The 26623-nt window shown below is 37.2% G+C and overlaps 1 protein-coding gene across 1 annotated transcript in view, besides 1 other annotated feature; it reads left to right on the forward strand.

The window, feature by feature from the left end:
- Nucleotides 1-25064, forward strand: part of RSBN1L (round spermatid basic protein 1 like) — an 86564-nt gene extending 61500 nt beyond the window's left edge. Inside the window, exons 4-8 of the mRNA NM_198467.3 lie at nt 7537-7674; nt 10703-10845; nt 15189-15356; nt 20380-20488; nt 20572-25064. Of these exons, the coding sequence (NP_940869.2) occupies nt 7537-7674; nt 10703-10845; nt 15189-15356; nt 20380-20488; nt 20572-21210 (1197 nt within the window). The 3' untranslated portion in view covers nt 21211-25064. The remainder of the gene's footprint in view (nt 1-7536; nt 7675-10702; nt 10846-15188; nt 15357-20379; nt 20489-20571) is intronic.
- Nucleotides 6305-6805: an enhancer, noted in NCBI's record as "H3K4me1 hESC enhancer chr7:77393580-77394080 (GRCh37/hg19 assembly coordinates)". NCBI's record gives its function as "activates a minimal SCP1, AML or CMV promoter by ChIP-STARR-seq in naive H9 embryonic stem cells {active_cell/tissue: H9 hESC(naive)}" and the evidence as "EXISTENCE:reporter gene assay evidence [ECO:0000049][PMID:30033119]".
- Nucleotides 25065-26623: the final 1559 nt, after the last annotated feature.

Raw genomic sequence — 26623 nt, forward strand, 5'->3', positions numbered from 1 at the left:
ATTCATTTTACTTTAATTTTTTTTCTTGTGACAGAGTCTCACTGTACTCCAGCCTGGACGACAGAGTGAGACTCCATCTCAAAAAAAAAGAAAGAAATTCATGATAATGCTATCCTCTAGGTAATTAAGTAGCACTGTTTTTAATCGATAAAAGAGTATATATAGTAATGTTATATGTGTTTTGTATTTTCTTATATGATGGTAGAAGTTGTGAATTATATATATTTTAACAGGTCATTGTCCAGGATGGAGTGCAGTGGTGCGATCTCGGCTCACTGCAACTTCCCAGGTTCAAGTGATTCTTGTGCCTCAGTCACCCAAATAGCTGGGATTAGGCATGTGCCACCTTGGCCTCCCAAAGTGCTCGGCCTATTTAAAAAATCCTTTAAATTTTTAATATTTGTGGGTACATAGTAGATGTATATATTTATGGGGTACATAAGATGTCTTGATACAAGCATGCAATATGAAATAAGTGCATCATGGAGAATGAGGTGTCCATCTCCACAAGCATTTATCCTTTGAGTTACAAACAATCCAGTTAACAACACTCTTTTAGTTAAAATGTGCAATTATTACTGACTATAGTCACCCTGTTGTGCAGTGAAATCGTAGGCTTTATTCATTCTTTCTTTTTTTGTGTGTGCGCATTAATAGACTCCACTTCTTGATGACAGGAGTGGCAAAATCACATTGCACAGGAGTGAGCATACAGGCCTGGGAAGAATTTGGGGCCATTTGCAGTTGACCACGTTCGTTTTAGGTTTTCTAGCATCTGTATTTCATTCAAATATTCACTCAGACATTTATTGTGCTCCTGTGTTCTACCGTAGGGATAGAAAAAGGCAAATAAAATAGGAATTTTCTCTGTCAAGAAATAAATTAGATTTCTGTCTTGTCACTATGTTTAATCAGTGTACATACTCTGGAACCCTGTACTAAGAACTGTGAGAATGTGAAAACTGGAGTAGTTGTTTTCTAACCACCCTTCCTCCACTTCCAAACTCTAAATCTTATTTTTATTGTATTGTGGTTCTAAGTTATTTCTCAGGTAACTTATGTCAAAGTGTTAACTGATGATTAAAAGTCTATTATTTTAATAATGAAACTTATTAAATCTGATCTGACTGTTAGACCTGCTTCACTGTAGAGTTGGGGCAGAACACTAGCATTTGTTGAATTTGTGCTGGGGCCATTCACTGTGTTAGGCTACTAAAAGCAATTTGATGTTTCATCTTTGAAACATTGCTTGCCTTTGTACTAAATTTTCATTTTGACCAATTGTGCCTGCCCCATGCTCCCCAAATACTTAAGAACTGATCTATACAAAATATCGTGTCAGGGACCAGATGCTCTAATAATAATCAAAAAGCTTTCCCCCTTTATTTTACTAATTTTAAAATGGATAATACTTTCGTTCTTATTTTAGTTGCCGTTATATGGGTATTTTTGAAATAAAATGTTGGTTAAATATTGCCTATTTTGATTAGAAACCATCTGCCAGAAGTGATGGATAATGGCTCCCCCTTGTGGCACAGTCATTTATGACATGTTTAGATTGCCTCAGAATGTCCTGAGCAGGCCTTGTTTTTAAAAATAAGGGACTCTCCTCCCCACCCGCTAAAAAAAACCTCAGCAGAATTGAATCAACAGCTTCTGCTCCCACCCCCCTCAATTCTTTGGCTCTAATAATGATCCTGTTTTTGTATTTTCTTCACATTGGTGCTGATACAAGCTAAAAATATCTGTATCTCCATATTTATGGTGGATCACTATGAAGGTATTCTGAGGAACTTTTAATATCTTGGAATGTTGATAGGTATACTAAAACAAGTACAAAAAAAACAGGTTTTGAAGTCCAAAATAGTGTAATGCTGGACCAAATAAGTAATATTTGTTTGCAGTGAGACTCCTCAGAAACTTTAATAGCCAGTGTGCGTGGTGAGCCTCCTAAACAAGAAGGGTTTTCCAAACTTAGTGGACTGTAGAGCTCTCTCTTCAGGGAACATGTTTTGGGAAACAGCAGGTTGTTTCAAGTGAGTCGTTCTTTGGGGTTTTTTAAAAAATTACTTGTTATTACTATATTTGCCTTTTCCCCCTTGCAGCAGTTTTCGTAATTACATAAGAGAAAACAGCAATAAGTAAAAAATCTTATAGATTTGTTTTTGGCAACATATTTCCTGTTAAGAATAGGCTACTTTTTTCCCTTTGTAGCAAGCCCACCTCAGAATCCTAAAGTGTTTTTTTTAAAGATTACATTATATAAGTCGAATATTAGTTTAAACAATTATTTCATTTTATGTTAACCAAAGCTTCTCAGATTTTGGTATTGACACTTACTGGCAATGGGTACAATAGGTCTCCTACTTCTGCTTTCTTTTTTCCCTTCATAATATTTATAGAGAATATACAAGGGGAAAAGTGAAAATGTGGCCATGATGGTCATGGGGTTTTGTGGGGAGGGGGAGGAGATTTAGATTAAATATGTTATATTTCTTCTGAAGGCCACTATTTAAATATAAGCTTTTCCACAAATACATAATTATCATGCCTGTCTTTTATTGTGTTCTGACACATCTATATACCTAAATCAAGAGGAACTATATGTATAATCTTTGTAATTCAGTGCATTTCTTTTTTTAGAAAGCAAGTATATTCTATTATTATTTTTTATTTAGTTAACTTATTTTTTGAGACTGAGTTTCACTTTTATCACCCAGGCTGGAGTGCAGTGGTGCGATCTCGCTGGCTGCAACCTCCGCCTCCTGGGTTCAAGCATTCTCGTGCCTCACTCAGCCTCCTGAGTAGCTGGGATTACAGGCACCTGCCACCATGCCTGGCTAATTTTTGTATTTTTAGTAGAGACGGGGTTTTGTCATGTTGGCCAGGCTGGTATCAAACTCTTGATCTCAAATGATCCTCCCGCCTTGGCCTCCCAAAATGCTGGGATTACAGGCGTGACGCCTGGCGTATATTTTAAAGCAGTGACATGTTTTGACTTTTTTTCAGGTTAATTTTTTAACTACACCAGAAAACTGGTTTGATTAATGTTTACTGGAGTGAATAAAAGCAAATATAGTAAGCTCACATTGAGCGTCATCAGGATGTGAGGTTTTCCAGATAGGCTATTTTTTTAGTTAATGGAAACGTAGTTTTAAGTATTAAGATTTTATAAAAATATCTTCATTGCTGAACATATGCAACATAATGTCACTTTATTTTCAGTATTGGTTTGTCATTATGATACAATACTGATGCCTTAGGGCAGCTGCAGCTGTGCTTACCCTTTTTCCTTCCTTCCCCTTCTAAATATGTGGTTTCTTGTCCTTTATGATTTTAGAGAGTAGTTACGATTGTGCCTAATATAGGAACTGATAGGTAAGAAGAAGAACTTTTATGAGCCATGGTCTTTGTGACATTTACTGTGATTATTTAGAGATTCTTTTAATCCTTATCTGTTACCTCTTCCACCTCACCGCCCTTGAGTTCTTCGCAGTCTGGCATAGTCTGGATAGGTGATTTTTAGAGAAATGAGGCTTGATTTTTTTGTAATAGGTGAATTCTGCATATTTGGTATATAGTTTTGCAACAAAAGAGGTGTCACCAAAATCAAGAAGTATTTACATTTTTGTGAAAAGCGTGTGGATTTTATTCTTACATTTTATTTTAACAACTTAAGTACCATCATGTATTTTATCAAGCAGTATATACTTTTTAAATTGGAAACATTGTTGTGTGTAACTTGCCATGTTTATAACATTTAAGTTAATGGTTACAACTGATGGATTTGAAATATTGTGTTATTAAACTAGAAATTTGTATGAAATGATATATAGTTAAAGGTTATATTACAATATATTTTAAAATTTAATACTTTTACAGATTAAGATTTTGATGACTTCAATTTAATTTTTTAAATTTGGTCTAAGTTTAAATATGTTTATTCAGGTGGGTGATCATCATTTTATCTTTACTGTTGGAGAATAAAGGTTTTGGAAGATCATTGCCGTTTTGTTTTAAACATGTGAGAGCTAAGCAGTTTTTATAAAGGCCAATTTCCTAATAGGATTTATTTTTGGTTTTATTAGTGGGCAAATGGCATCTACCTGTACATTCTGGTTACAAGGGAGAGACTTATACTTTTGTTATAATAAGTTATGTGTGAAAGTGAATTTTACATATCTATATGTTTTATATGTATTTTGGCATGAGGTGGGAAGAACTAACTAAAAATTCAATTAAGATATTTAGCAATATAATCGGAGTAGAGTCTGTATTACTTTACTTTAAAAATTCAGGGTCTCTAAAAAATCCTTTGAAATAGTTATGAATTTTAATAGGACCATACTTAAAAATAATCAGCAAAAGATAAAGCCTCTTCTTAGGTAGTGCCCAAACTAGACAGAGAATGGGGGAAAAATCGGTTTTTGATTTATTCAGTCTATTATGTTAAACATTTTAATGTTTAGGTCTATACTAATTTAGACGTGTTTTGTTTTATTTTGAAATAAAAAGCATTATTTGTAAACTTGGAAATTAATGTAAATGTATAATTTGAAAGAAATGAGATGGCTAGGTCAGTAATACTTCTTCAGTCAATGAAATAATTATTCTAACCTGAAATAGCAACATCTGGTCAAAGCAAAATTAGTAAATAAAGTTCTTGAGTCATGACACAACATATGATGTGTCTGTAATATTACCACCCAAGTTTTACCCAATTTTTTCCTGTTACTCAATGATACATGTTTTTACTCACATTTAAATACATAAATTTTACTCTACAAGGACTGTGTTAACAATTGGTTCCGGTTTTCTGATTATTATATTATCTCCTACTCTCTATAATTTAATAATGTTATAGTTTTTTGGTTTTATTTCATGTATAATATGACTTTTTAAAACTACTAGATAAATTGAAAGTTTAGTTGTGCTTCGTATTTTAGAAGAATTCACTTAATGAAAATTCTTTCCTAACAGTCATCCCCTCCGCACAAGATAAACTGCCCAAATTATTTAGGTGATCATTGTTGGTACTGTGATGTCATAGAATGAACCAACTCAGTGGCAAGGACTTGATTATGGCTTTGTTAGAACTAAATGTTGTAGGTATCTAATTTAAACAAGATAAGGAAATTTATGCACAGAAAATGTACTTATTTGTATGAGGTGGAAATATATATAATTTGACTTTTTTTTTTTTTTTTTTTTGGTCTCGCTGTGTTGCTCAGGCAGATCTTGAACTCCTGGGCTCAAGTGATCCTCTTGCCTCTGCCTTCTGGGTAGCTGGGATTACAGTTTCGTGTCACCACCCCTAACTCTAATTTGACTTTTTAGATATATTTCAAAGCACTTGGAAAATTTGTGTTTTACAATATCAGTTGTTTGATTTCACTTTCTAAATGGTTATCGTCTCTCAAAACCCCTTATGGTCATTTGCAGACACAAAACTCAGAATCTCAGAATCACTTAACAGACTTGATGTGTTCTATTCTGGTAAATGTGCTAGAGTTGAGATTGATACCCTTAGCTTCTTTGATAGACTGCATTACAGAGGTGCATAGACTGAATTTCTTACTGTGCTGCTATTAATGCATCTAGAGCCTGAAGACTGTTGTAGAGTTAGGCTTTAACTGTTAGCTCTCTTGATATTGGAGATGATAGGAATTTTTAGGCGACAGGAAAAAGATGAGACAATGAGCATACAATGGGGGCATAAGCCCCAGCTGTTCTTATATTTGTTTGTTTTTTTGAGACAGGATCTCGCTCTGTTGCCCAGGCTGGAGTGCAGTGGCCTGATGACAGCTCACTGCAGCCTGGACCTGCCAGGCTGGAGATATCCTCCCACTTCTCAAAGTGCTGGGCTTACAGGCCCTTAATTTTCTAACTTGTAGGAATGGTTTGTGGTTCTGAGAAGTCAATTTGTAACAGTTTAGGAAAATTTAGGCTTAGAAATCTGGTGAATTTATTAAAGAATTAATGTCATTATTAAACTGCTTTGCTGATTATAATAACAAATGAGATTCTCTTCCTTAAATGATTTTGTATGAAAACATGTGGGTTGGGGTTTACTTTGTTACGTTGTGATACTCTTACCAGCTATGATTGTAAGGATTCAACTTTTGATGTGACTATCTTTTATAATCTGTGTCTGTGATGTGATAAAAGTTGACCATCCATGTTTGCCTGAAATACAAGACTTTCAGTTTTAAGACTGATAGTCCTGGGCAAACTGGGACAAATTGGTCTCCTAAATTTGTTGTCCACAAAGGCTAATCCAGAGAAAGAGACAATTACAGTTTTGCTTATAATTTGGTTATCAAAACGAGTTGTTTCGCTTGAAGACAGACTCAGCTTGTTTACTAGTGTTAGTATATGAAAACACATAGGTTTCTTTGTCAGGATTTAAATATGCTGGCAAGAAATGTAGTTACCAATCAATCTTGAGGTGCACATGGCTTTGTTTTGGCTCTTTGAATGCCACCCATTTGCTAGCATTATGGCAGGTGAGTTTATATCATTATCAAATTTTCTTCAGCAATCTGCTGTAAAACATTCCAGTTAAGGAAACCACAGCTCAAGGAACGCAAATGATTTCTGAAGGTCATGTAACTGGTAGATAGCAAAGGCAGATTTGGATTTTAGGATTCCTGATTCTTAATTTCTTTCTTTCTTTTTTTTTTTTTGAGACATAGTCTCGCTCTGTCGCCCAGGCTGGAGTGCAGTGGCACAATCTCGGCTCATTGCAAGCTCCGCCACCCAGGTTCACGCCATTCTCCTGCCTCAGCCTCCCAAGTAGCTGGGACTACAGGCGCGCGCCGGCCACCACACTCGGCTGATTTTTTTGTATTATTAGTAGAGACGGGGTTTCACCATGTTGGCCAGGATGGTCTTGATCTCCTGACCTCATGATCCGCCTGCCTTGGCCTCCCAAAGTGCTGGGATTACAGGTGTGAGCCACTGCGCCCGGCTGTGATTCTTAATTTCTAGTAGTTTCTCATGAGAGTTAATAATAGGTATATAAACTGGTTTCTAGTTAATATGGTAAGATCAAAAAAGAAGAGCATCCCTGGTGGCCTTTTAGTCATATAAGCCACTGTTGATGGTTAAATGTTTTCAGAGGGTCTAATTTTGAAAATGTTGATGAAAAGATATGAACTTCATTTCACTTTAGAAAAATGCAGGTACACCAACTTTTGAATACTCAGATAATGAGTTCCTCTGTTCTAAGGAGATGTTAGTTGTCTAGAATTAATGCTTATTTGTCTTAACTCTGTTTTCATAAGCAGTGTGTAGGAATAGTTAGAGAAAGTAAAATAGCTTGATTTAGTGCAAGTTTTATTTTTAAAATGCCTTATCTGTTACTGTTAGTAAAGTTTTGTTTTGCTTGCCTCATTATGATATAATATTCTGAGATAATAATTTATTGCTACAAAATGATAGCAAGCATTATCTTATGTGTAACTTTTAATTAAATCCATATTCTTCAGGTAAAAAGAACGTATTTAACTTTTAATTAAATCCATGTTTCTTCAGGTAAAAAGAACGTATTCTCATGGTACTTACAGAGCTGGCCCAATGAGACAAATAAGCTTGGTGGGAGCAGTTGATGAAGAAGTAGGAGATTATTTCCCTGAGTTCCTTGACATGTTGGAAGAGTCACCATTTTTAAAAGTAAGAGACAATCTGTCATGGGATTAGAGTTTTTTTTTTAAAAAAGGGAAGAAAAACCAATATGAGTAATCTAAATTGTGATTGTTTCTTTCATGCTACATGCAATATAAATGAATGGCTGTTTCAGAAATAGAAACGTTTTGGTTTTATTTGAACTGGAGGGAAGGAGAGCAAGAGATGGGAAACTGACATAATTCTTGTGTAGTGTGTACATGCGACATCTCAGGTTCTAATTGTAATGGCAAAGCTAAGTGGTGGGCCATGAAATAACACCTCTTAACACTTTAGGAAATTAGGTTCCATGTGTTTATCAGCTCTTTGTAAACTAAGTACTAAAGGACTTAAGAAGTACAGGAAGGATTCTACTACAAATGTTTAAGACAAAGGAATGGCAGTTTAGCATTCCTAAACTAAATTCCAGGAAAACTCGCCTGGGAAATTACACACCCATATTTTAGCCATGGCTGTACTTATCTGGGTTGGGCAAGCCCTTTAAACTTTCTGGGCTTCAGTTTCATCATCCATAAAATAACATGTTTAGACAATGTAGCCAAAGGCCCCTCTATTTAATTTATTTTTTTGAGACAGCCTCACTCTCTGCCCAGGCTGGAGTGTAGTGGTGTAATGTGGAGCCCTGACCTCCGTGGGCTTGGATGATCCTCCCACGTCAGCCTCCCAAGTACCTCGGATTACAGGCACATGCCATCATGCCCAGCTAACTTTTGTATTTTTTGTGGAAATGGGGTTTCACCATGTTGCTCAGGCTGGTCTTGAACTCTTGGACTCAAGTGATCCTCCTGTCTTGGCCTTCCAAAGTGCTGGGATTACAGGTGTGAGCCACTGTGCCCACCACCACAGGCCCCTTTAAATAGTTTGTAGCCAGATTCCTTTTTTTTTTTTTTAAAGCCTCTTGATTTTCAAAAAGTATTTCTTATTGTGAGGTGCTAGGGCTATCCCACTGAGAGAGGAATCTCTGAGCTGTGTGGTTAGGTTAATTATTTAATCAGTAACTCAAAGGTCAATGCTGCAAACCTACACTGAAATTCAGGGTCCAGGTAAGCTGTGGAATGTGACAAGATTTCTGATACCACATAATCTATAGGACATCTCTTCTTTTATTACTTCTGTTTGCTTGGTGTTTTTACCCTATATGTACATATATCTTTTTCTTCCCTTTCTCTTTAACCTTGTTCCATTCCTTTTTCTCTTTTCCTTTTAAACTTTTTGTTCCTTTTCTACTTCTCTCTAGTAGTTACATCATGGAATTAGGTTGCATTTATTATTGGACTATATTTAAAAATTACCAAATATTACTTAAATGGTTGCTTCAAGTTTAATTTTCAAAGCACATGAACTAAATGCATTATTTCTCCTTTCCTTTCCTTCCCCTTCCCCTTCCCTTTCCCCTTCCCTTCCCCTTCCCCTTCCCTTTCCCCTTCCCTTCCCCTTCCCCTTCCCTTTCCCTTTCCCTTCCTTTCTTTCGATGGGGTCCTGCTATGTTGCCCAGGCTAGCTTTGAAGTCCTGGGCTCAAGCAGTCCTCCTGCTTCAGCCTCCCAAAGTGCTGTGATTACAGACGTGAGCCACCCACACCCAACCTAAATGCATTGTTTCTAAAGAAATTTGACAAGCCTTTTTGAAAAGGGGGTGTGTGGTGAAATTTTTTTTTTTTTTAATTTTGTTCTCAACATTCCATGGACAGTGGCCCTCAGTTTCCTTCTTCCCTCTCTCTGTCTTTTTTTGTTTGTTTGTTTTTGGTTTCAGATGGAGTCTCGCTGTGTCATCCAGGCTGGAGGGCAGTGGTGCGATCTCGGCTCACTGCAACCTCTGCCTCTCAGGTTCAAGCAATTCTCATGCCTCAGCCTTTCGAGTAGCTGGGATTACAGACACACACTACCATGCTAGGCTAATTTTTTGTATCTTTAGTAGAGATGAGGTTTCTCCATGTTGCCCAGTCTGGTCTCAAACTCCTGAGCTCAGGTGATCTGCCTGCCTCAGCCTCCTGAAGTGTTGGGATTACAGGCCTGAGCCACCGTGCCCGGCCACCGTCTTCTCTTTTCTCTTCCCCTTCCCCTTCACCTCTGTCTCTCGCCTCGCCTCCCCTCCCCTCCCCTCCCCCCTTTTTCCCTCCCCCTTCCCCTCCTCTCCCCCCTCCCCCTTCTCCCTCCCCCTTCCCTTCCTCTGCCCCCTCCCCCCTTCTCCCTCCCCCCTTCTCCCTCCCCCCTCCCTCTCCTTTCATTCTTTGGAGTCTCGTTCTGTCACCAGGCTGGAGTGCAGTGGCGTGATTTCGGCTCACTGCAACCTCCGCCTCCGAGGTTCAAGCGATTCTCCTGCCTCAACCTCCTGAGTAGCTGGGACTACAGGTGCGCGCCACCATGCCCAGCTAATTTTTGTATTTTGTAGAGACGGGGTTTCACCGTGCTGGCCAGGACGGTCTCGATATCTTGATATCTTGACCTTGTGATCCGCCCGCCTCGGCCTCCCAAAGTGCTCGGATTACAGGCGTGAGCCACTGCGCGCCCAGCCTTGTTCTTTCATTTTAAAATACTTTAGTCTCTGGTTTAAGCCAACAACCTCTTCAAGAAACTGCTGAACAGAAATATGTTTTGATTTTGTTTTGTTTTGTTTTTAATTATCATTAATCAAAGAGGTATCCAGTTTTTAAACTTAAATTTAATTGTTCATTTTTATAGATTCTTATGAGAGCACTTGCTTATTTAGTCCGTTAACATCATATGATCTATATGGTAGAAGGAAGAATAACAAATGATGAATATAGTGAATCATACCTCTAGCAGGGTATAGGGACAGAACCATCCAAGCATAATTATTTTCTTGGTGTGTTTGAAACAGTTTTTTGAAGCAAAGTATATCAATATATAGGGATATATTCAATATTATGTATTTCAGATGCTTAAGTATAAAGCTGTGTATGAAAGTGTGTTTGTCAGGGGAACAATATTATTATTAACATACACTTGAAGATACATTTTGAAAATAATTGCAATCTGCATAATTATTTATCTCCAGTGTACACTGCCATGGGGGACGCTATCTAGTCTAAAATTACAGAGTCGAAAAGATAGTGATGATGGTCCCATCATGTGGGTTCGTCCAGGAGAACAAATGATCCCTGTGGCTGATATGCCAAAGTCACCTTTCAAAAGGAAAAGGTATGTTGTATACACATTTTTATTGGAGGGGATGAGTGTTTGTATGTTGGGGTGTGTATGTTAGTTGAAAATTGGAGGAAGGAGGAATGCAAAGTTTAGAGCATAATTGGAATATAAATTTAAAAATAGCGATACATGCTAATACAATTTGTTATAAAACCTAAAATGTAAATAAAGCATGAGAAATGTAGGCAAATGACAAGAAATTGTAATGATGGATGGAAAAAATGTCATAAGATATAAACTATTTTAGAATAAATGTAATATTCAGAACCTATACTAAGAAGACTAAAATGTTTTGTGGAGGATATAAAGTAAGATCAGAACAAATGGAAAGCCCTGCTGTGTTCTGGATTGGATAAAAATGATAGTTCTTTAAAATTTTCTGCATTTCAATTGGACTAACACTTCCAGTCCTGGATAAAATTATTTTAAAATTCATAAGGAAGTAAACTTTTCAGTGAAAGAGAAGATTAGTGAGAGGCAGCTTATGATACAGGATATTAAAAATTACTATAAAGTTCAAATAGATCATTGGAATAAGAGTCCAGAAATAGATCTAAGTATATTGGGAACTTAATATATGAGATAGGTGGGAAGAGGAAGATGTATTTAATGAATAATGCTGGCATATTTGGCTCTCATAAAAACAAAGGCAGAGCCCCTACCTCATACAAGAAGTAAATTAGAGAATTAAGCATCACAGATAAAACAGTTAAAATATTAGAATAAAATTGTTTAAGCCTGGAGGAGACCTTCCTAAGCAAGACCAAACAATGCAGTGGCAATAGTATTTGGGGGGGAAGCGACATCAACAATGAGGTTCAAAATTATGATAGACTGGACTAAGACATTTGGAACTCATGACACACCAAAGTTAATGTACAAAGAGCATTCTCAAGTGTAAACAACCCAGTAGAAAAATAACCTCAGGTAGTTAAGTTTATTTTAAAAGAACTATGAGATATTTTTATTCATTATATTGGCAAAAATTATGAATATAGCATTAATATTATAGGCTGGTAGGTATGTGAAGAAACAATTTTTTATATATTGTTGACTGGAGGATGAGCTGCTGTAATTTTGTGAAAGTAATCTGGCAGTAGATCATAAAATTTAACATAAAACTCTTTGATCTAGCACTCCTACTTTTGGGAATCCCAAGGAATAAAAACACGAAAGGTAAATAAATTTGTGGTAAGAAAAACATTTTAAAATGGTCTGAATGCCTGTCAGTAGGGGAATGGTTGAATAGATTTCATACATTCTTATTGAAGAGTATAGTTAGGCCGGGTGCAGTGGCTCACGCCTGTAATCCCAGCACTTTGGGAGGCTGAGGCGGGTGGATTACCTGAAGTCAGGAGTTTGAAGATCAGCCTGGCCAACATGAGGAAACCCCGTCTCTACTAAAAATAGAACAAATTAGCCCAGCGTGGTGGGACATGACTGTAATCCCAGCTATTCAGGAGGCTGAGGCAGGAGAATTGCTTGAGCCTGGGAGATAGAGGTTGCAGTGAACCCAGATCGCTTCACTGCACTCCAGCCTGGCCGATAGAGCGAGACTCTGTTTCAAAAAAAAGAGTATAGTGAAATACGCCAGGTGCAGTGGCTCTTTCATGTAATCCTAGCACTTTGGGTGGCCGAGGTGGGAGGATAACTTGAATCCCAAGAGTTCAGGAGCAGCCTGAGCAACATAGTGAGATGCCGCCTCTACAAAATAAATTTAAAAATTTAGCCAATGTGGTGGTACATGCCCGTAGCCCTAGCTACTCGGAAGGCTGAGTCAAGGGCTGCTTGAGCCCAGGAGTTTGAGGCTGCAGTAAGCTATGAGTACATCACTGCACTCCAGCCTGGGTGACAGAACCAGAACCTATCTCTTAAAAAAAAAATGGTGAAATAGTTAAAGTTTTAAAAAATGTCTTGATCTGGATGGATATTCATGACATTTGAAAACAGCCAAATGTAGAGTAATGTATCTAATATGATTTTGTTTTTATCCAAAGAAATAACAAAACCCTACTATGTGTGATTGTGTACTTATGTGAGCACAGAGAAAAGTGTGGAGAAAATGTACATTAGGTTAACGTGGATTGGAATGGATGGAGATGATGCTAGGAGAGATTATAGCCTTTTGTTTTGTTTTGTTTGTTTGTTTTTGAGACTGAGTCTTGCTCTGTCGCCAGGCTGGAGTGCAGTGGTGCAATCTCGGCTCACTGCAACCTCCACCTCCCGGTTTCAAGCGATTCTCCTGCCTCAGCCTCCCGAGTAGCTGGGACTACAGGCGCACGCCACCACACCCGGCTAATTTTTGTATTTTCAGTAGAGATGGTGTTTCACCATGTTGGCCAGGATGGTCTTGATCTCTTGATCTCGTGATCCTCCTGCCTCGGCCACCCAAAGTGCCTAGGCATGAGCCACTGTGCCCGTCCTGATTATAGCTTTTTAGATTACCTAAAGACGGTTTTAGCTGTTACAGTGATTATTAAGTTTACTGGTTACGGTGATTATTAAGTTAAAAAGAAAACAGGGAAAAAGTCATTGAGTAAACTCTGGGTTGCATGATGGCAGGGACTTTGTTGGGTTTGTTACTAATGTTTCTCTAGCACCTAAACACAGTGTCTGGTGCTTAATATTGGATGAATAAAATTTTACAGGTTAATTTGTAAGTTAGTAGTAAATGGTAAAATTGATGTGTTCCTCAGCGACTCTTTTTTTTTTTTTTTTGAGATAGAGTCTAGCTCTGTCACCCAGGCTGGAGTGCAGTGGCACAATCTCGGCTCACTGCAACCTCTGCCTCCTGGGTTCAAGTGATTCTCCTGCCTCAGCCTCCTCAGTAGCTGGGATTAAAGGCGTGAACCACCATTCCCAGCTCATTTTTGTATTTTTAAGAGAGACGGGATTTCGCCGTTTTGGCCAGGCTGGTCTCAAACTCCTGACCTCAGGTGATCCACCTGCCTTGGCCTCCCAAAGTGCTAGGATTACAAGCGTGAGCCACTGTGCCCGGCCTCCTCAGTGATTCTTAATTTTTTTTTCTTTTTTTTAGAATGTATGGATCATTTTGAGAATCTGAAAGTCTCTTCTCAGAACAATACAGATAAATACAAACTTTTAGATGTACTTTAAGGGGGTTCACCACTACCTTGAGGAACTTCCATTCACTTCAGGGTATACAACCCATGGTATATATGATAATAATAGTCTAACAAAAACAGTGTCAGGCATTGTGTCAAGTGCTGTACAGTCTTAATTCATTAGAATGTGGTATTTATGCAGCTAAATTTGTGGGTTTGAGAACCTGTTAGGTTTCCAGAGGAAGCAACACCATCTGGCATTGTGACACATGTAGAACATTATTCACAAAGAACCAAAAAAAAATTATTATGTATATGTGTAATAAGACTGTAATGCAGGGGTGCACAAAGAGTAGTTAAATAATAGAGATTAAGGGTGGGAAAGTAGAGAACCAGTAAGGAAGAGTGATCCCTGGGAAGATAGACAAGGATGAGAGGAGACAATTATGGGGGTAATACAGAGTTGCATCTGGAAGAAACAAAAACCGTAGAGGAAGATAAAATGATGACTCTCTGCCAAAGAAATTCTTACCCTTTTCCTTGCCTACAGCAAAACTGGAGAGGTTTCTGCAATGAGTGAGGCTAAGTAGGCAGCAACTTCTGCGTGTATATGCATTCTAGAAGGAAAGTGGTGGAGGAGAGGGCCAGTGGGAAATAGCTGTCTTCCAAGACAGAGCTAAGGTTTTCCTTTCTACCTCCAATAAAGCATGCATGTTTTGTGGAAGCACTTACTGCTGGGTGTTTACTGCTAAATCTGTTTTTTGATTCTTCCCTCACTAGACAGACTATAAACTCCCACGAGAGTGGGGTCCTCTTCTGTCTTATTTGCTATTGTCTCATTCACTGGCCCCAGTTCTTAGATAGTACCTAGCACATAGTATGTGTCCTATCAATATTGAATTAATGCATTTTTAAAAGTTACCCATTTGTTTCAGATATATATCTATCTTGTGTTACCCAAGAGATCTGAGTGGGGGCATGGTACCCAAACCCCAGGTAAAGATTCTGTGTATAGGGAAACTTGGGTAAACAACACCATTTGTAATTTAATTTTTTATCCATGTGTTTCCTTACAACTGTTCCTGTTGTGAAGGTATATTAGAAAAATGAGGGTATCGTATTTGTGTTTTTGTTTGTTCGTGTTCATTTTAAAGATAGAATTTGATTTGAGAGCAAATTTCATATATTTTTGTCTGAATTATGTGATTATTGAATGTTTGATAGCAATTAAGTGTCACTATATAAATGTAATTTTCTTTTTTTAAAAAACAGAACTACCAATGAAATAAAAAATCTTCAGTACCTACCTCGAACAAGTGAGCCCCGTGAGATGCTCTTTGAAGACAGGACAAGAGCTCATGCAGATCATATAGGACAAGGTTTTGAACGACAGACTACAGCTGCTGTTGGAGTGCTGAAGGCTGTGCACTGTGGAGAGTGGTATATATAACTACCGCTATTTTAATGAAAGAATTTCTTGGCTTCTACAATTTTTCTTGGAAAATCTTAGTAATTCCTCCTTACTGTGGGAAAAAAGTTTCATTTTTTACCCGTATTTGGATATCTTAATTGTATAATTGTACTAAAGATTTTAAATTGCTAGAATCTGGCTGGGTGGGGTGGCTCACACCTGTAATCGCAGCACTTTGGGAGGCCGAGGTGGGTGGATCACAAGGTCAGGAGATCAAGACCAGCCTAGCCAATATGGGGAAACCCCGTCTGTACTAAAAATACAAAAGTTAGCCGGGCGTGGTGGCGCACGCCTGTAGTCCTAGCTATTCAGGAGCCTGAGGCAGGAGAATTGCTTGAACCCGGGAGGCTGAGGGTGCAGTGAGCCGAGATCGCGCCACTGCACTCCAGCCTGGGTGACAGAGCAAGACTCCATCTCGAACAAAAACAAAAACAAATAAATTGCTAAAATCTAGGTTTCATCATTTGGGTTAACTGAAATAATTAATTTCATGTTCTAAGTGACTAGATGTAAAAAAAATTAAAAGGAAAGCTAAGGCTTACCTGGTGCATACTGTATGCCTGTTTACAAATGTCATTTAATTTTTCTCAACTGCTTTTTGCTCCGTATTTATCACATAAGGAAACTGAGGCTCAGGGCTGTCAAATAATTTTTTTTACAGTCATATAGTTAATAAATGGTAGAGCTGAGACTGATTTCAATCTGATTCCATACTCTTCTGTTTTCTCTTCCTCCTGCTTTGCTGTACCCTTTCTGAGGTTTGGTTTCTCTTTGTTATGTATTTGCTTTTCTGTATTCTTTTTTTTCCAGCTTTGCTTACAAGTTTCACTTTGAATATTTTGACAGATTAAAAAATAGATTATTCTTTTTAATATACTTGAGGTGTCATCTCATACATTAAATACCTTTCCATTTATTAAATTGATAAAACATATAAAGCAAAGTTATTGTAATTTTGCGGCCAGGTGTGATGGCTCACGCCTGTAATTCCAGCACTTTGGGAGGCCGAGGTGGGTGGGATCACCTGAGGTCAGGAGTTCGAGACCAGCCTGGACAACATGGTGAAACCTCATCTCTATTAAAAATACAAAAATTAGCTGGGGCCAGGTGCGGTGGCTCACAACTGTAATCCCAGCACTTTCGGAGGCTGAGGTGGGCAGATCATGAGGTCAGGAGTTCAACACCAGCCTGACCAACATGGTAAAACCCCATCTCTACTAAAAATACACACATACACAAAAATTAGCTGGCCGTGGTGGCACGTGCCTGTAATCCCAGCTACTCAGGAGGCTGAGGCAGGAGAAGTGCTTGAACCCAGGAGGCAGAGGTTGCAGTGAGCCAAGATCGTGCCACTGCACTTCAGCCTGGGGCGACAAGAGCAAAACTCCGTCCCACCACCAACAACAACAAAAAAAGATAATTTTGCTTGCTTAGATTTTTGTTTTCCAAAATTGAGTATTGTTTGGGTATGAAATGTGAGTTGGAATATGCTATTTTGCTTATTAGAGCCATTAAAAATTTTTTTTTTCTTTAAGAGATAGGGCCTCACTCTGTTGCCCAGGCTATAGTTCAGTGGTGCTGTCATGGCTCACAGCAGCCTTGACCACCCATCTTCAAGCAAGCCTCCTGCCTCAGCCTCCTGAGTAGCTAGGACTACAGTCACACACCACCACATCCAGTGAATATTTATTTATTTTTACATTCTGTTTATTTGTATTACTGTTCCTTGCAGAGCAGGACTAACTCATAGGCAGTATGTCCAGAGTTGGCCTATTTTAAAATTTTTTGTAGAGACACGGTCTTGCTCTGTTGCCCAGGCTGGGAGCTCAAAGTGCTAGGATTACAGGTGCGAAACACTGCACCTGGCCTTATTAGAGCAGTTTAATTTTTTAAAAAAAGGAGAAACAGGCCAGGTGCAGTGGCTCATGCTAGTAATCCCAGCACTTTTGGAGGCCGAGGTGGGTAGATCACTTGAAGTTAGGAGTTCAAGACCAGCCTGGCCAACATGGTGAAACCTTGCCTCTCCTAAAAATACAAAAATTAGCTGGGCATGCATGCCTATAACGCCAGCTATTTGGGAGGCTGAGGCACAAGAATTGCTTGAACCTGGGAGGTGGAGGTTGCAGTGAGCCGAGATCGTGCTGTGTTTCACAAATTTTTCTATTGCATTTTCATTTCAGTTCAGGATATCTCTAATTCCTGTTTGATTTCTTTTTTAACCCATGGGTTATCAAGAAGTGTTGTTTAGTTTCCAATATTTGAGGATTTTTTTCCAGATTTTTGTTTTGGTGTTTTTCATTTCTAATTTAATTTCTTGTGGTCAGAGAACATATTCTGTATGATTTTAGTGCTTCTAAATTTCTTGGGGTTTGTTTTATGGACCATCTTGATGAATTTTTATATGTCCACTTTAAAAAATGTGTATTTTGGCTAGGCGCGGTGGCTCACAACTGTAATCTCAGCATTTTGGGAGGCCAAGGCGGGCGGATCACCTGAGGTCAGGAGTTCCAGACCAGCCTGGGCAACATGGTGAAACCCCATATGTACTAAAAATACAAAAATTAGCTGGGCGTGGTGGCACACACCTGTAATCCCAGCTCCTCGCTAGGCTGAGGCACAAGAATCGCTTGAACCTAGGAGGTGAAGGTTGCAGTGAGCTTAGATGGCACCACTGCACTCCAGCCTGGGCGATTGACGTGAGACTCCGTCTCAAAAAAAAAAGTGTATTTTGCTGTTGTTAGGGATATAGTGCTCTATAAATTAAGAGCAATTAAGTCAACTTTGTTGATAGTGAATGTGGTTCACTTTTTTTATATTCTCACTTATTTTTGTCTGCTTGTTAATTTGCAACTTTAATATTGGATTTGCCTGTTTTTCCTGTCAGTTTTTCTAGGTTTTGCTCTATTTTTGTGACAGCTTTATCAAGCTATGATCACGTATCATACAGTTCACCCATTTAAAGTGTACAGTTGAATAGTTTTTAGTATATTCACAGAGTTATGCAACCACCACCAAAACGATAGAACATTTTCATCACCTCAGAAAGGAACTACACCTTTTAGACATCACCTCCCCAATTCTCCATCTTCCATCCTGCCAGCCCTAGGCAAGCACTAATTTACTTTCTGTCTGTAGGTATATGTCTATTCTTAACATCTAATATAAATGGAATCAAATAACGTGGTCTTTTGTGATTAGCTTCTTTCACTTAGCGTAGTGTTTTGAAGGTTATTCCATATAGTTTGAAGCTGTGTTCTTAGGCAAGTACACATTTAGAATTGTTATTCTTGATGAATTGGCCCCTTTTTTCATTATAAAGTGCCCTTTTTATCCTTGGTAATATTCCTTGTCCTGAAACTTTGTTAATATAGCCAATTCAGCCTTCTTCTTATTTGTATTTACATGCTCTATCTTTTCCCATTCTTTTTCTTTTAACTTATCTGTATGTCTATATTATTGTTACATGTAGATAGATATCATATAGTTGGGTCTTACCTTTTTTTTAATCCAGTGACAATCTCTGTCTTTTAATTGGAGTATTTAGATTATTTATATTTAATAGAAATATTAGTAAATTTGGTTTTAAATTTACCATTTTGCTTTTTCCAATTTGCTTCTTTATTCTTTATTCTTTTGTTTCCCCTTTTCTTGTCATTTTTAAGCATTCCATTTTACCTCCATGATTTGGTTAGTAGCTTGTAGCTCTGTGGGTTTTTTTTTTATTTCAGTATTGTCAACTTACCACAATCTACCTTCAAATAATATGAGACTTCTTTATGTAATGTGTAAGAACCTTTCAATAGTATACTTCCATTTATTCCCTCCCCCCTCACATTTCTGGCCTTTGTGCTAATTGTCATGTATTTTACTTTACATATGCCATAAACCCCATGATGTATGTTATTTTGCTTTAAAGAATCATTTCTAAAGAGATTTCTTTAAATTTAAAGAGAATAAAACCTCTTTCATATTTATCATTAGGTGTGCTGTACATTCCTTTTCATAGATCTACATTTTCATTTAAGTATCATTTTCCTTCAGCCTGAAGAAATTCCTTTAGCAGTCTTTGTTATGCTGTTTTCTCGGTGACAGATTCAGCTTTTGTTTATTTGAACATGTTTTTATTTCACATTTTTTGGAGGATATTTTTTGGTGGATATAGAATTCTAGATTGACTTTTTCTTCTAATACTTTAAAAGTAGTCCATTCTCTTCAGGCTTGCATTGTCTTTGATAAGTCTATGGTCAGTCTTATCCTTCTTTCTCTGTATATAATGTATTACATGATTCTCAGATTTTCTCTTTTATCACTGGTTTTTAGAAATTTAGTTATGATTTGCCTTCATATGATTTTCTTTATGTTGTTTGGAATTTTATTCCAAAATCCATTTTTTAGCATCTCTTTAAAAATGTATTTATATATTCCTAATTAATTGAAGAATTTGAGAGTTTTTTAGAATTATATTTAAAGGCATGAGTAACCTCAGCAAATACCAAGTTTATTGTATTAGTACTTTTCCAATGAAGTCTCTTAATTTATAAAGTTATTTAAGAGTTTTATGCATCAGTATAGTTATATGTATCTTCTATGGAAATAAAATACTCCCTTTTCCTCATATTTACTTCTAATTTTTATGTAGTGTTTTCAACTTTAGCACTTAAATTTATGAAGCATTGATCTTATTCTTCAAATAGAACACTTAATTTTCTTGGTTTGTATAATTTACCAATTCAGATCATTTCAATTTTCCAAACTCTTGTGACAAATGTTTATATAAAAACGAAGTCAGTTTTTAATCTGTGTCTAGGTTGAAAGTCATGGTGTTGGCCCTTTCTTTAAATATGTGAAATGGCTTTCCAATTAACAGTTTAACTTTATTTGTAAGACAGTACTATGGTATTGACCATAAAGTATTTTTGCTTTGAGTTTAATAAGGACTCAAAAGAGTGAAGCATTTATGGCAGATTCTTGTTATCTCGTTTTCTTTTTTAGGCCTGATCAACCCCGTATAACCAAAGATGTAATTTGTTTTCATGCTGAAGATTTCTTAGAAGTAGTTCAACGAATGCAGTTAGATTTACATGAACCTCCACTGTCCCAGGTATTTTTAATACACTTACTGTCTTTGGTTTAGTTTTTATTATGAAGAGAGTTATTTGTATTTCTTGTTTTATTATTTTTTAGTGTGTCCAATGGGTTGATGATGCAAAACTGAATCAACTGAGGAGGGAAGGCATTCGCTATGCCAGGATTCAGCTATATGATAATGACATTTATTTTATTCCAAGGAATGTTGTTCATCAGTTCAAGACAGTTTCAGCTGTATGCAGTTTAGCATGGCATATTCGGCTCAAATTATATCACTCAGAGGAGGACACTTCTCAGAATACAGCTACTCATGAAACAGGCACATCATCAGATTCCACATCATCTGTTCTTGGACCTCACACTGACAACATGATTTGTGCTGTAAGCAAAGCCTCCTTGGATTCTGTTTTTTCAGATAAACTTCATTCTAAATATGAATTACAGCAGATTAAACATGAACCTATTGCATCTGTAAGAATCAAGGAAGAACCTGTGAATGTTAATATTCCTGAAAAGACTACAGCACTGAATAATATGGATGGCAAGAATGTTAAAGCAAAATTGGATCATGTTCAATTTGCAGAATTTAAGATTGACATGGATTCTAAATTTGAAAATAGCAACAAAGATTTAAAGGAAGAATTGTGCCCTGGAAATCTAAGTCTAGTTGATACAAGGCAACACAGTTCAGCACATTCAAATCAAGATAAAAAAGACGATGACATTTTGTGCTAAATTTGCATATACCATCTAAAATCCTTTTTTAAAAAAATTTAATGTAATAAAGATTCATGAATTCTGAAAGCAAGCCAAGGACTTGCTCCTATGTCTGTTACAAAACATAGTTTATGTAGCTTTGTAACATTCCTCAGTGCCTGTCCATAACTGTGAAGTATTAAGCACTTAGGGCCAGATGCACTGTAAACATTGCAGGTTTAAACATAAAGGAGTCTTTAAAAAAAAATCATTTACGTTGGAATTTTAGGTTTTAGAATAGAGCTGACATTAACATATATATATATATATAAATATATATATATATTTTGTAATATGAGCCAGAATTCTTTTTCAACAATTTAAAGCTTTTCCATAGAGCTTATTTATATCCTTTTTTTTCATTTTAAATGTGTCAGCACTGTAGTGTAAATAGCTTTTAAATATCTTTTTAGTGTGATTTATACTGAAATGTGAGCCACTTAATAAAGGTTCATATGTTCATATTAATAAATATGTTTTCTGTTGAGTCTGTAAAGACAAACTGACAATTCATTTAAGTCATTTGATAATGATTCTCTGCTGGTATATCTATTTAGTGTGGTATTGTAGTGCAAATGTACGTAATTCAAATCTAGTAAATATTTAAGTTCCTCACACTGTGCAGGCTTTTTTTTTTTTTTCTTTTTTTCTTTTTTTTGATACGGAGTTTCATTCTGTCACCAGGCTGGAGTTCAGTGGTGCGATCTCGGCTCACTGCAACCTCTGCCTCTCGGGTTCAAGTGATTATTCTCCTGCCTCAGCCTCCTGAGTAGCTGGGACTACAGGCACGCACCACAACACCCAGCTAATTTTTGTATTTTTAGTAGAGATGGGGTTTCATCATGTTGGCCAGGATGGTCTTGATCTCTTGACCTTGTGATCCGCCCACCTTGGCCTCCCAAAGTGCTGGGATTGCAGGGGTGAGCCACAGCGCCCAGCCTATGCAGGCATTTTTAACAACCAAGACTCAGTTAAGAAAGTGTGCATCTGCGTGTGTGTGAATGTGTATATATATGTATATATATATCATATTTTGCATAATTTTCTTAAATTGCTGAATAAGATCAATATGTGAAATTCCTTAGCCCTTCTCCCCAAAATACATTGAAAAAAGTTTTATATTAAACTATTAAGAAAGCAGTTTAGGTAATAGAAACAGTTTTAGAAAGTTGGGAGAAACAAGGTATGTTAATGATAACAAAGGCTTCTAACTAATAGTTACGTGGCCAGATTACATAGCCTACCATAGATTTTTTTTATTGTGTATGGGATGATAAGAAGTTTAGAGAATTTTCTTACTAGTAAGTACCTTTACTAAGTAATAGCTAAGTATAAAATCTTTAGTTACAGAAAGCTTGTGAGCAATTAAAATCCTTTTACATTTTTCTTGCAGAATGGGAGAAAAATATGGCAAATACAAAACTGTAAAATAAGGGCAATGACAATGACTCAACTGCCATATAGAGATATAATTAACAAAATACTTTGTGGTACCTCTTATCTCTCAGGATCTCCTCCCTACCCTAGCAAGGCAAACAACTTGGAGTACTTCCTTTTCGAAAGAAGTTCTAGAAATTAAATTGAGGTAGGAGACGGATTGACAGTGCCTAACTAAAGATGAGTAAAACAGACCTCTTTAATGATAGACTCACTATTTGACACTGCTTCTACTATTGTAATTAAAAATCAGAAGTCTTTGATGTATGCGTTGCTGTAAGAAACTCTGCTCATTGCAAATCTATTTTGTTTGTTTTTGGTATTATTCTGGGCACATACTTTGGTTGATGACTTTCAATTGGGGTTCTTTGTGCTGCCTTTTGGGTTACTGTTGGTATTTCCATTTCTGGCTTAATTTATGGTAACCATCAAAACTGCTTATATTTCTGGTTAGGGCGAAGCCATTTAGGAAGAAGCATTTCACCAGAACAAGTAAAAGTTAATTGCAGCAATGATGTCAGTTTTGGCCCCTAGTTTAATAAAAGGATAGGCAAATATCATAGGAAATCTTCATGGTTTGTAGGAAATCAGTGTTTGCAACGTAGGAAGTTTCATGGGATAGGGAAGGTATAAATCAAGATAGTAAGGGTTTTGTTTTATATGTCATTGTCTTACCATGCTCCCCACCTATTTAATCTTCTGTTTTAAGCTAAATTTATGGATTTGCACCTACCTTTTTGAGTGGCAGAAGTTCTTAACAAACCAGTATTGAGAAATAAGAAGGGATGTAGTTAAAATGGTTTTCTGTTTCTCTTTAAAGTTGAAGAATGATATATTTAACAAGAGTTGTGTTTTATTTCCAGTTTTCCAGTAGCATATATGTAGATGCATTGAGGTCATACTGTGAGAAAATGTCTTTAGGGTATCCCTCCAAAATAGGAGCCTTAAACTTTTTAACTTAAAGGAAGGCATATCTAAAAACCATAGTGGTTGCTTTTAGGTATAGTTTCCTATATAACCTATAGTCAGACTTATCTATAATATGAAAATTTAATTGTTTTAAAAATGCATACATCGGCCGGGTGCAGTGGCTCACGCCTGTAATCCCAGCACTTAGGGAGGCCGAGGCGGGCGGATCACGAGGTCAGAAGTTTGAGACCAGTCTGGCCAACATGGTGAAACCCCGTCTCTACTAAAAATACAAAAAAATTAGTTGGGCGTGGTGGCGTGCGCCTGTAATCCCAGCTACTTGGGAGGCTGAGGCAGGGGAATTGCTTGAACCCGGGAGGAGAAGGTTGCAGTGAGCCGAGATCGCCCCACTGCCCTCCAGCCTGGGCGACAGTCTCAAAAAAAAAAAAAAAAAAAAGCATACATCTCTGAAGGTAAAGTATAAATCAGTGGGCTCAAGATTTGCAGGTACAGCCTTGTTAATGCCTTCAATAATGCTTACGTTCCTTGTCTTATGGGTTATAATTTTCACATCCTCTTCAGATACAATCTGAGAACTTGTTGACTACCTTTGTTACATGCAAAAATTTTCTATTTTAATATTGCATTATATTAATGGTTTCATAGTACATTCCAGTTCTTTATCTGAATACAAGCGTTTTGCTTTTATTTCCAGTTTCTTGGACCAGAACAATAAAATACATAAGACATCGTTTCTATATGGTCATATACTATATAGAATAAAGAATTGTTATGTAAATTATTAAATGAGTATACAGACCTTTACATAAAAACTAAGGTACCTCAGTGGAATCTGCTACAGTGCTTCCCCCTCCCTACCCCTCCATTTTGTTTATAACCTTTTAGCTATCTAAATAATACGTATTCCATACTCAGGATAGCTGGTTAGCTAGCAAAAGAATTAACATTTGTGATATTTACTTGCAAACTTTACTGAAGCCATATTCATTATCTTCCTTGTCACCAAGGCTGTTGACCTTAAATAAACATTAAGTTGATTTTGCACAACACTGTATTTGTGTGTGTGCATGTGCCTGTTTTTGTGTGTGTATGTTTGTGGGAAATAATTATGTTTGTTTCCGCATATATTCATTTTTAATGCATTCTGTAACTTTTCTCGAGTGGTGGTCATTGAGGGTAGGGAAGATTTTATTTTTTAAGTTGTCGTTAAGGTATTTCATTAGTGTTCCTGAGTGTAAAACAGTTTTTTCCCAAATACTTATGGCAGATAAGAGCATTTTTGTAAATAATAAACTAGCACCGTTTGGGTAAATTTGCATTATTTTTTGGACAGGTTCATTGTCATGTAAAACAAATATCTCAAAATTCATTTTACATTTAGCAAAGGTGCAACATTTGTTTTTGGAGTTTGAGAGATATTTTCCTTGTCTTCCATCATTCAATAAATACTAAAATTGATAACCACAGTCTTTTTACTTTTGTAATTATTTTCTTAAAATTGACATTTTAATCTTGTCAACTTTAAAAGTTCTTTTCTGTCTTCAGTAGAAACCGTAAAATCTTGAATTGACTCCAATTTGAATTTTTTTTTTACTCTAAAGCTAATTATCAAAAGTTGACTTACGCCAACAGAGACAGATATTGAGGATTATCTTAAACAAGGTCACTAAACTAGGTATGGGTGCTGGGAATGGTATGATAAATACCTCTCTTGTCCTACTAGACATAATGATTTCTGTCCCAGGAAGGGAAGACAAAAGTGCCATTCTTTTCAAAATACTTTTAGGCTGCTAAAACATGATGGGTTTTAGGTGTGGTAGAATAGATCTCACTCTTTCTCTTACTTGATGTAACTACATTTATATGTAAACAAAATTTTACTGGTTTTAGAATGCATTGCCTGTTTTATCAAAGAGTTATGTTTGAGGTTTGGCACTGACAGTACACTTCAGATATGATAATTAAGAGGACAACTCAGGAGAGCTTGTAAGTCCTTTTGTCTTCTGTCCTGGCTTTTCTTTTCTTTCTGTAACCCAGTACATACTACAGATGGAAATGATTGCTTTTTAGAACATCAAGCACACACAGCCTAAAAACAAAAATGTCTTTTCCTTGTAGCTTTATAGGCGTTGTATAGCAGTCATATCTCTGTTGAGAGAGCAGGGAAAGGAGGGGAAAACATCCTGCATTTCAGGTTATCTTCACTTCCAGCTCTTCTTGGACTTCAGACCCAATCAGAGAATATGAATGAGCTGAGAACAAAATATGGTCTGGGCGAGTAGAATTTATGTTAACTAGAAATTAAAATTTATAACTTGTGTGTTTTATTACTATGATCTGCCTACTAAGAACTGCACTGTGAACATGTGAGAACTCGATCCTTCTGTACATTTTGAAATTCAGAACTTACGCATCTATGTTGTTAGAATGTTAAATCTACACTTTTCTGTAAAGTTCATTGCTGTTGTACTACTTAAGACTACTTGGCCGGGCGCAGTGGTCACGCCTGTAATCCCAGCACTTTGGGAGGCCAAGGCGGGTGGATCACGAGGTCAGGAGATCGAGACCATCCTGGCTAACATGGTGAAACCCCGTCTCTACTAAAAAATACAAAAAATTAGCCGGGTGTGGTGGCGGGTGCCTGTAGTCCCAGCTACTCGGGAGACTGAGGCAGGAGAACGGCCTGAACCCAGGAGGCAGAGCTTGCAATGAGCAGATATCGTGCCACTGCACTCCAGCCTGGGTGACAGAGACTCTGTCTCAAAAAAAAAAAAAAAAAAAAAAAAAAAGGACTACTAAGTGTGCAGACTCAGAGGCAAATTAATATTACAGTCGCACAACCTGGCCAACGTGGCAAAACCCCGTCTCTACTAAAAATAAAATCGGACGGGCGTGGTGACACGCACCTGTAATCGCAGCTACTGGAGAGGCTGAGGCAGGAGAATCGCTTGAACCCGGGAGGTGGAGGTTGCAGTGAGCCGAGATTGTGCTATTGCACTCCAGCCTGGGTGACAGAGCAAGACTC

The sequence above is a fragment of the Homo sapiens genome, chromosome 7 (genome assembly GCF_000001405.40).
Source record: "Homo sapiens chromosome 7, GRCh38.p14 Primary Assembly".
NCBI classification, from domain to species: Eukaryota; Metazoa; Chordata; class Mammalia; order Primates; family Hominidae; genus Homo; species Homo sapiens.